The sequence below is a fragment of the Homo sapiens genome, chromosome 14, assembly GCF_000001405.40.
Source record: "Homo sapiens chromosome 14, GRCh38.p14 Primary Assembly".
NCBI classification, from domain to species: domain Eukaryota; kingdom Metazoa; phylum Chordata; class Mammalia; order Primates; family Hominidae; genus Homo; species Homo sapiens.
In genome coordinates this window covers 28,602,952-28,614,256 of record NC_000014.9, presented here as the reverse complement: position 1 = coordinate 28,614,256, position 11,305 = coordinate 28,602,952, and the positions used below count along the sequence as shown (strand labels likewise).

The 11,305-nt window shown below is 34.2% G+C and overlaps 2 long non-coding RNA genes across 3 annotated transcripts in view; one reads left to right on the top strand and one right to left on the bottom strand.

Moving 5' to 3' along the window:
• The first annotated feature begins 599 nt into the window (after positions 1–599).
• LINC02300 (long intergenic non-protein coding RNA 2300) overlaps positions 600–11,305 on the top strand; it is a 24,751-nt gene continuing 14,045 nt past the window's right edge. For both annotated transcript variants that reach the window (XR_001750690.2, XR_943666.3), the window contains exons 1-2: positions 600–798; positions 1,779–1,935. This is a non-coding gene — a long non-coding RNA (long intergenic non-protein coding RNA 2300). The remainder of the gene's footprint in view (positions 799–1,778; positions 1,936–11,305) is intronic.
• LOC107984684 (uncharacterized) overlaps positions 8,147–11,305 on the bottom strand; it is a 28,000-nt gene continuing 24,841 nt past the window's right edge. The window contains exon 3 of the long non-coding RNA XR_001750691.2: positions 8,147–10,678. This is a non-coding gene — a long non-coding RNA (uncharacterized LOC107984684). The remainder of the gene's footprint in view (positions 10,679–11,305) is intronic.

The following is an 11,305-nucleotide window of genomic DNA, read 5'->3' as shown; positions in this document are numbered from 1 at the left end:
CACATCTAGATTTCTGATTCCTATGAGCTGACATTGCCTCAAATTTTATGTGTCCCAAATTGAACTTGCCATCTTTTTGTATGCCCCAATGGCTCTCCTAATTCGTCAGCACTCTAATGCATCTTGAAAACATTTTTGTTTCTTTCCTCTTTTTTGAAAAACAAATCTGTCATAAAGTTTCCCAGTGAAATGAAAATTACATTTCTTCTCTCTTCTCTACACACTAGCTCAGGCTGAAGGAATTACATGCTGCAATAACTCTCTGCTCTCTGTGCTCCTTAGAGTTGTCATTATCAAATACAAAAGTCTTTGCCTGGCTTTCACGGCAATTCATCATGTGGGTGCCTTCCTTTCACTTGCTTTTATATTTTCTTGCCACAAAAGTTCTTTTGTAAACATCGGATATTGACTTTAAGAGCTTATACAAAGTCTTTTTTAATAGGTTTTTGATGCAGTGAGCGGTAAATGGTGTTTGTTGTCTGTAACTATTCCACACCCTTGCTGAGACTTCCTTATAGGTGGAGCATACTTCCTCAATCCACTGACCTGAATCTTGACCATGTGGCTTACATTGTCCAGTGAAATATAAGGAGAAGTTCAGTGTGACAGTGAGGAGTGCAGACTTTCAGATGCAATGAGTGTTTCTTCTCGTTGTTCTGTGCTCCTGTCCTGCACCATAAGAGCATGTCCCAGGTCATCATGTTCTTTTGACCAGGCTCCTGGAATGAGAGACGCTTGGAGCTGACCTGAACTGGACCTCTAGAAGCAGAGATGCTGAGAACATCTGCAGATACATGAGTAAGATATGTGCACTTGCTTTTTGTAAACTACTGAGATTTTAAGGTTGTTACACAGCATCATCATAGAAATAGCTGACTAACATACAACCGTTCTAGAAACCAGGTCTATAATCACAAAACCAATCATAACCCTGAGGTTTAGTTTCTTCCTAGCTAGTGAGCTTTGGGCTAAGTGTTTTGAAGAAGTGTTAGATCATAGTTACAAAGGACTTCTTTTATGTGTTGGGAAAGCTGGGATTCTTTATTTAAATATCAAAATGATCTTAAGTTTGTTGTTAGACATATTCCAGTTCTCAGTAGAATTTAAATAGCAGAAATTAGCTACTAGAAATGAAGTCTTTTAAAAGTAGAAAATTAGTAGAAATGTGTATAAATTAATTTGATAGAAATTAGGTTTTGTCTGAAACGACTTTCTGATTAAATCTTCTTTGGACAAGATTTCTGGAGGTGCATCTTGAGACACACAGACTTTTCCTTGCTTACTCTTAAATTGGTTCTTAAGTTTTGGTCTTTTAAATATGAGGAACAGATTATGCTTAGATCCTTTATCAACCCTTCTAAGTCTACGAAGCCGTGTTTTCACAGACCATCTAATTTTCATAAGATAAACTTAGTTTCTTGATTCCTTTTCCAAAACAGCCATTTTCTAAAGGGTTTCCAGGAGGAGTTATTTCTTGTCTCTTTTTGTGGTCTTTCTAGGGTCCTTTATAAGACCTCATTACTAAAGCCCCAGAAAAGACATTGACACAAAATCAAGTGACTTTTCAAAGATCCATGAAATAGTGTCACAGATTATCTTTGATGTGTGACTGTAATTTGCTAGAGAATCATACCAGGTTAATGGCTTAACTCTCTGGAGCCTATTGAATTTATGCAGATACAGGGCTCTCAACTATCAAGGTCTCAACTGGAAAAGAGAGACGTGGAAAAGTCAAGATTTCATGTTTGTGAATTTATTATCATATTTTTTTTCCACAGTGGATTGAGCAGTCCCTGAGTCATATACTCTACCAGAGAATGAATGATGTCTGGTAAATAAGATGATGAATCTGACACATAAAAGTACTGAGGGCCCAGTCAAGGCAATATCACTGGCTGTGAAATGCTGAAGAGAATCAGTTGAAAGAGAAAGAAGGTAAACGTATTAGACTTTCAAAAAAGCATATGAAGTAGATTAAGAGAATTAATTGGAAATTATTCATCCAAATGGCTCTCAATAGGTAAAAGTAGAAATTATTTTATAAATCTTTTGGAAGCCAGTGTGAAACATTGTGTCAATAAAGGTAAAATGGAAGGTGGCCATCAGAGAGCATGTTAGGACACTGTAAAAATGTCATATCCTGTCCCTTTGTTCAAATGAGAATCACGTTATCACTGACATTGGAGTTTTTTGATGCCAAATTAATACATAGTTTTCTTATTTGTAGAAATTCTAAATGAGAAGAGCCTCACTTCTTTTGATCCTGTGGCATGTGGGCCAAGCCTACTGGATGCCTGTTTTTGTAAAAAAAAAAAAAAAGTTATTGTAACATAGATGCATGTGTTTGTTAGTGTACTGCCCATGGATGCTTTCATGCTAGAAAAGCAAAGTTGGGTTGTTGCAACAGAGAGTATATGGCCGTGTAACCTAAATTTTCTAATATCTGCTTTTTAGGGAAAAATTTTTGCTTGCCTCTGCTCAAGCACAATGGCTTTCACATATTTTGATTATCCTAAGGGAATAATATATTTTACATCGTCACCAGTGCATGAGCACCCACATACAAGAATATATCTGGGAAGACATTTCATGCAATAGTTGCTACTCAACAAGCCCTTTTTTTCCCTCTGTTTAATTCTATTCTGTTTCAGCTTTGAAACAATGCTGCTAACCCTTAGCTGCTTTAAAATATTTCACCCTCTGCCTCGGGACTATGAAAGCAATATTTTCTGCAAATGTCAATGTCACTCATCTGTTTAGAGTATTGAGTTTAGCTTAGCAGTGCATTTTATATAAAATAGAAACTTTATTATCTTTGTTAATGTTAGCAAGCAAACAACAAAAAAGTTGGTCAGACATCTGACATATTGCAATAAGGGAAAGGATTGAAAGGGACAAGATGCAGTCTATGAGAATATTGGAATGCTACTGACTTAATGACCTAACGTTGTTTGCAAGGCTTCCTCAAGAACCCAATTAATTTCAAATGGGTATCTTACATTCTTGAGAATTTTGCTCAACTCCATTTGTTATTGCTAGTTTTTTTATTTGTAGATTGAACAAGGGCTTCACATATAATACATACAGATACAAATCCAAAATAAGATATAAACTTGAATCACTGTCAAATTCTTTACTTTCTTTCATTCTTTTATTCATTTATGTAGTGAACATTTATTCATCGAGGCCAATCTCTGTTCTAAACACCATGCATATCTGTGTCACTCACAATATAATGATATCCTTATGAAGTGTACTGTTCAATATAAGAGACACAAATTAATCAAATAATCACATAAAACTGCCTTTGTGATAAAAGCTATGAAATTGAGATACATGTGCTATGAAGTACATAATAGGGCAATTTGACCTAGTCAGAGAGGTCAGTTGAGATTTCCATGAAGGAATAGTGATAGGGATAATATCACAAGGAATTTCAGGGCTGAAGAGGACAGGGATGAGTGAGCTCTCACAGTATGATAATGTATGCCCAGAAATATACTCCAGCTTTCTCCTTAAACATTGCTATTTTTTTCATTTCTCCAGCCTTTCTCTGGTGGTATTTACAATCAGTTATTTATCTTTTTTCCCACTGCCTTTAGTCCACAAAATGAAGAGAACATAGTTTAAAAATTCTATTATGTGTCTATCTATTTATTTGAATATTTCCATATAACATACTTTTACATTTGTGGAAATTGTTCCTGTTCATTTGGATTAAGTCCTAGACAGTTTCCCTAAATAGCTCTGTAAATCATCATGAAGACATGACCTTGGTTTTCAATCAGCTTATATTTATGGTTGGGAAATGATTCCTTGTGAAGCCAATAGGTTCAGAGTCACTGACCAAGGATTTATGGTTGCGCTTATTATGACGGGCTTGGACTCTAGAATGATAGCAAGGTAAATCCACTGTAAGAATGGATTTTCTTGTTGAGATCTAAAGCTTTACGTTTTTTTTAAATCTATAGAAGTCTCATTTGGTAAAGCAACTGAAAAACAAATCATAACTTTTCTTTTTCATGCTTATTTAAAAGATACCCATCTGCTTAGTTTCTGATCCTTAATATGTTGACATGACTAGAATGTTTTTATTTTTTGCTAACGTAAGGAATGGAGCAACAAAGAGATTTCAATTTATACAGTTTGTCTTTGTAACCATACTCCCATGTGAGTAATGTGGGATAAGCAAGACAGTTGTACAGCTGCTTTGCTAGAGATGAAGAGTAGAATTTTACTGTAGGAAAAATATTGAAAGTGCTAATTTGGTGCACAAATCTATAGCTAGACTCAGTCCAAGTTGACTAAATGGGTAATAGAATAAAATACTAAATAAAGACAAATGTACTAGTAAGTATCAGTAAGTAGTAAGACTGTATTCCAATTTTTTTCTCAATAGAGTGATAATATTTTAGTAATTTATTTCAAAAGTTAAATAGATAAAAGAATTTGTGAAAACTGGGTTTCAAATATAAGAGCTATTAATATCCACATGCAGAGCAAGGAGGCTAATTAAACGTTTTTTTTTCATCCTCCTGTACCCCAATGACCTACTCTTCTAAGGAAATGCATAGAACTATAGTTAAGCAAATATAACTTGTAAATGTCTAAAAAAGATTACAATAAATTCAGTGACCTAGAAATCTGCTTTACCTTGGGATTATTGCATTAGTGTATTGCTTCCCTCAGATATGATGTGAGTGTTCAAAAGTTTTCCTTACAAAAGTCAAGACTGGTCTTTGCTGCTAAAAAGAACAACACAGGAAAACATTACAGCCCTTTTTTTCCTCCTCTGAGTTACAATGCTAGGAGAGTCATAGAGGCCTGTCACCACGAGATGGCGCTCAGCTTCCGTCTCAAAAAGAAGTGAGTTCCATGTTTTTCAGCCCCTACTTATTACCATTCATTTCAAGGAGTGAAAAACAGTGTTCAGAGAAAAATCTTTGTTAGCACAAAGCGTCTACATTTGTGAGAGACAAAATTATGTTTCTAGTTCATTCAAAGACTAGTTGCTAATCTCGGAATTTTGCAAGTTAACTCACAGGAACATGAAAAAAAAATCCTACATTTATTGGTTAACTAGGCACACTCATTTGCTTTTTATCAGTTCATTGATGTTTTATGGGGAAGCATGGAAAAGGCAGTTGACATTTTCATGCATTTTGAAGGAAGAATAAAATGGCTGGTTCTCGGCTGTGCTTGTTCACAGGTTTTGTAAGCCGAGGAAATGGATACTACGGTTGTTTGTAAAACCGGATCCAAACAAAGGAAGAGAGCAAGGATGCTTTCCTGCAACATTGACACATGTACCACTCTCTAGAAAAAGGATGAGGCTGCAGAAGAAGGTTTTAGCTTAGCATTTCAATTCTAAAATGGATGGTCCTATTTAATTTTCCACATACAATAACTTTCCTCGCTGAAGAATAGATTAATATTACTAATCTCACTTATGTAGCAGCCTTAAAAGGCCAGACCAACACGGATATTTCTAAAGCAGATTGTAGTCATTTCTGCCGGTATCGTCAATTCCCTACCCACACTGAAAGTCATTGTGTTGGTAATCTCACGCTATTGCTTCAGTAGGCGTCTGCGTCATTCTTTGCTCTCCGTGAGCTATAGACAGGCATAATGGATGAAGTGATGAGAGGGCACAATGATGAATTAATATCCCAGAGGTCCTAAAACTAGTCACAATGAAAGAAGGCTTTTCTGTGGCCACTGGGTTCCTGGAGTTGTGTTATGAAATGTGATTCTGGGGTTGTCTGCTTGCTGGTATTCCTGTAGAAGGATAGAGGGAAGAGTTCTCTCAACTGCAGGAGAAAAAGAACAAGAAAAAGCAAGACATACATGTACTATAATGAAATGGGATCATAACTATATATGTGTAAATATATACACATATATACACGCACACACCAGGTTTTTGTATAAATAAATGTGAAGTTTTCTTTTTATCAAGCTTTGCACTATATAAAACATCTACACTGGTTGCAGCTTTACTATTTGTTTTTGCTTGGCATTTTGTTATAGAAATAGCATACATATTAGTGGTACATTAAGCTGCTTCTTCTAATATATGTGGATTAAGCAGCAGAAATAGCTTTTCTATTCTTTGCCATCTTTGGAAGTGTTATTGTGGAAAACAAAGTCAAAGCAGACATGATGAGCCAATGTCAATTTTGATTATACCTTATTCTATTTGTTCTTTTATGTATTTTCAAACTCTCACCGAGTGCCACCTTACACTAGGCACAGTACATGACGCTGAGCATAAAGGCGGGAAAGAGATCACAGTTCCTTCCCACAAAGATGCAGAAATGAATATGACTCTACCTGCAATAGTGCAGTATTACATGAACTGTGGTGGAATTGGAACAGTGGCATTTAGCTCAATCATAGTTATTAGCCTAAAATATTTCAATTAAAGATTAACTTACTACCAAAAATATGTAAAAATCATTTTCTCTGCGGGGACAGGATAAGCTAGGAAAGATGCAAGCTTAGAAAGAAAGAGCATGAGTGTGCTTCCTTTGTCTGAGAGATTATTCCCTTCTGGCCAGAAGAGGGTTGGGGATGGAACTCGGAAAGAAGAGTGCACAGAGAAGCTTAACCAGTGTTTTGCTGTTCTCGCATCATATATTTATAATGTGTTTTTACAGTTCAGTTTGATGAATTATGTTTTTCTGGGATGAAAATATTTTCACATCCAAACACAAAAATGTAGTTAAAAGTATTTAAGGGAAACATAAATAGTTAAAACAGCCAGTTTAGGCAACTCATGTACTTTCTTTTCTCCATTCAAACAGATATTTGAGAATTCACTATATTTCACAACTGATTTTCACTCCCTGTATATTGAAACAAACTCATACATATCTTAATGACATGCTAATCTGAAATAATGAGCCTCATATATAATACTTGTGTCCTTTAAAACGAATACATAACCATATGCTATAATTTTGTGGTGCTTGTTAATTAACACAAGTAGTCCTAAACTTTTCAAAAACGAGGGAGTAGACACCATGATGTGAACATTAAAACAAATAAATACACATACATTATATAGTGTTTAGTTCATGAGCTGGTTTGAAATTTGCTCCATGATTTTGATAGGTCATCTGTATTTGCTCTTGTGTGAAACACTTTCAATAACCCTTATTGGTAAAGCACTTGGAGATCATTGGTTGAAAAGTGCAATTGACTCTGAGTGCTGGCTTCAGAGCCTTACAATTGAGAGCCATCATAAATTTTATTTTTGCTGGCATAAATACGGAGATCTTTTTTATGCAGAGAGGGAGCTCTTTTATTTTGTAAACATTTTTATGCTAGGTGCTTCAGTAATGAATCTTAGATCAGTATAAAAATTGTTTGCAATAATAATCTATATACCAGTCTCTATGTGATGTTCTTATAGCTTTCTCTGCTTGCCCTGGAATAAGAAAGCATTAATATTTTGAAACAATTCTGTATGTGTGATTGTCTGTTTTTATGGTAATCAGAATACAAAAGATAAAAACACGCAGGTTTATTTTGAAAAAAAGGTGTTTACTTGAGGGATCTTTTCTGATAGCATAGATTTCTGTTAGCTTTTTAAATTTAAACAAGTATTCTGGGATAATATTAAATTTATCAGCCACAGAAAGGGGAGCTTTGTAGTTGTTGGAAATCCTGTTTTATCACCTATCACCCAGAAATAAAAGAAATCTTAAAGGATAAAGGTAGAAGTAAATTCAATTTTCCTTGGTATCAAGTTAATTTTTTCAATCAGAAGTTCTTTGAGCAGGTGAAGAAAAGACACTAAAAGAATTGGAAGCTATAGTAAAAGCCCTGATGAAGAATACATCATAAATAACTAACAAACCATAAATGAAAATTGGGTGCCTTTAAGGCGGGAACTACTAACAGGCTGCCAGGCAGCATTTGACCTCTTTTAATGGAAATTTTAAGAGAGGACTCGAGGTGATGAAGGGTCATTGAACCGGATGTCAATGGCTCCTGAGTAGTACTCCAGGTGGGCTACTAAGCTCATTCTGAAGGATGATGTAGATTGGGGTGCATCAATCAGCCAGGCAGAAGTCAACTCCCTGACCAGTTCTTTTCTGTAGTAGTTCAGACACTGCACAAAGTACAGGAAATCAGGTTATTTATTTATTTTGGGCTTTTATTAAGATATAATAACAACTTCTTATATTTGTTTAGTGTGTTATATTCAAGAGCCCATTTGCCACCTCAATTCAGTCAGACTATCAAATAAGACATGTTTTAATTTTCCATCTTCATATATATTTCTATGCTTTATGTGATAAAAAATTACAATTTATCTGGGATCAGGGCAATAAAAGAAACTGATCTTTTGCAAATACAGTTTGCTCTTATGTATAGGAAAAGTTAGAGAGAATAAAAGCCATTAAAGTTGTGTATAAAAGATACATTGGAGTTACATTTATATCATTGATTACACTGTTTCTCAATTACACAGTTTTGAAAAAAACACAAGCAATTAATCATGGTAGATTACACTCAGTTTGTATTTGGTCAGCAGTAGCAAGTAGTTATCAAGAAGTCTGAGTTCCAATTGTTTCTCTAAATAATCCTTTGTAATATCTTTTGCTTATGGGATTTCTGTAATACCCTTTAGTAAATGTGATTATTTATATCTAGAAAACATTTTAAAATAGCTCTCATTCTTTTTTATAATTATACTTTTAAATATATTTTAAACGTATTATATTTTTAATATGATGCCATTACGAGTCCTGCCATTTGTCTTGTTTAATCTGAATATGCATAATTACAAACCATACCAATTAAAATCACTATACATGCATTATTAACTGGGTAAATTTTAGGAGTAAAAACAAGATTAAAATATTCAGGCAAAATAATTACTCGTAGCTTATGTAAAAGAACAACAAATAAGAACTGGAAGTTATTAAAATTTTTATTTTAAAGAAAAGCAGTAGTTTTATATAGATGACACAATTTAGTATTGGTAGAGGGCAAAATTTCTATCAATAACAATTCTTCAGATATAATTTTCTTTAGCAATTGGAAATATTAAAAATAACTTTAGATATTGGCCAGATATATGACATTTATATGACCTACTTGCCAGTATTGAAATGATCCACTGACAAAAAAAAGAAGATATACTATTATGACTTTTATAAGAATTTAAGATACCAGTACTTTATTATCCTGTTTTATTTGAACAGAAAATAAGAAACTAAAAAACAATTAGCAAGGCCGGAGAGTATTTTAGATTAAACTGATTTGAAATATGTAGTTTTCCTTTAGAGACTGCAAGCCATTGGCAATATGGCTTGAAATGAGTGGCTTAATAATAAAATGTTTCTATCCATGTCTATAAAATTCTAGGCAACAAAATTTAGCCATGCATTTTTGCATTAAACATGAACTATATCAAACTGTAGTCCTTTCAGTGGGGTCCTGATTTGTCCAGCCTTCTTTATCAGTCGCTTGAGGATCTTATAAGCTATTGAGTTTAGAGTTTTTAAGGTGTGACAGATGACTCCAAATGGCTCCTCTGTAGCTAAAATTTGGAGCTATAACTTGAACTTAAAATTTGAAGTTATATCTTCAAATTTTAGCTACAGAGTATAGGCTGGTTCTTACACTCCCAGCCTCTACCAGGGGGAAATACTTTTTGTATGGCCATAGTTATCTGAATATTTAAACTGAATTCAGGAAAAATGGGATATCCTGCAGTAGACCGAACACTTCATTGTAACTTTGTTTTTCTGTAGCTTAGTACAGTGCCCTGTAACATGTAGGTTCGGAATATATGTTCATTGAATGATTGTATTTACACTTACTAAACTGGTTCTACTCAGATAAAGGTGCCCAAAGGGTCAGTTTGAAAGTGACAGTAAATGTTACTAGCAATTAATTTTATCAGAGAAGATACTAGGGATTGGAAGGAGGAAGAGATGAGGAAAGAGAAAGGAGAAAGAAACAAAGGTAAGCAGGAAAACCAGGGGAGTTGGACGTGTCCTTCAGGAATAGGTAAAAATTCAATGTGTTCAGGTGGTGGACAGTATCAGGCTAAAGCTGGTGAGCTGAGTGTTTGAAGTTTTTAGAATAAATTCAGGGTATTTAGTGGGTGCTCATAGGAGATGAAACTGCTTTAATTAATGGAAGACAGTCAATAACTTTTTGTTTAGTTTTATTGTAAGTTGGGATGAACAAACAACTCCTTTCCTTGTAAAGTCTTTGGCTTACATTTATCCATATTTCATGTCCATAGACCAAAAAAAAAAAAAAACCAAACAAAAAGACTTTGTATTAACTACTAGAACTTATTGAGCAACTCTGTAAATATCAGGTCAAGAAAAACAGACAACGATTGACTAGACATTTAAGAAAAGCAAATGACATAATTTTACTTCAGTCTCCTGATTTTCATCGGCTCATTTCTAGTTTTCCCAGTCCTGGAGAGGTGGATCAGTGCAGTTTGACATAGTGCCAATTCCGGATTCTGTTCCCTTCTGCTTGGTTCATTCTTTTTGCTCTCTGCCAGAAGTCGGTATTATTTGAACTTTAGTCCAAGTACTTCTCATCTCTCTTTATACTTTCGTTTCTCACAGTATCAACTCTCACTTCCATGAAGCTGATTTCCAAGTCGATCTCAAATCAATTCTTCCTATCTCCTTATCTATATTTAGAACAAGCACTGTTGTATATTTACAGAATGGTATTGTAGGGATATAAAATTAAACCTTATAAATGACATTCTTTTGTTAACAAAAATCTTTAATTTCTATTTTTTCTAATTCTCTCATTCTAGTCACTTAGACTCAAATCTTCAAATTATATTTTATACAATTAACTCTTTTGATAGCTACTATGCCTGTTCTTTTATTCTCACATTCAGTACTTTGTGCCTGGGTTTGTGAAAACCATCTTAACTTGTACTCCCTCCTCTTTGAAATATCATTCTGTACATCAGACAACTAGTAGACAAGTGTAGCCAACCAGTTTTTCTACAACTTTCATCAGGATATTTAAGTTTATCTTCATTTTGGCTTCAGCTTATTTTTCGAGTCCTAAAATATTTTTTAATTTCTTCACTTCAGACAGAGTATCCCATTTACTTAATCAATGCATTTTGCCTTCATACCTTTATCTATATATACATAATTCTTTCTCTGTAATTATCCTGACACTCTTCTCTGTGTCTATTAACCCTACTCATTTTTAAAAGTCTAGTACAAATTTGAACTACTTATTGAGTTTTCTATATTCAGCCTAGAGTTCAACCTAGAGTTACGCATTTTCTGTA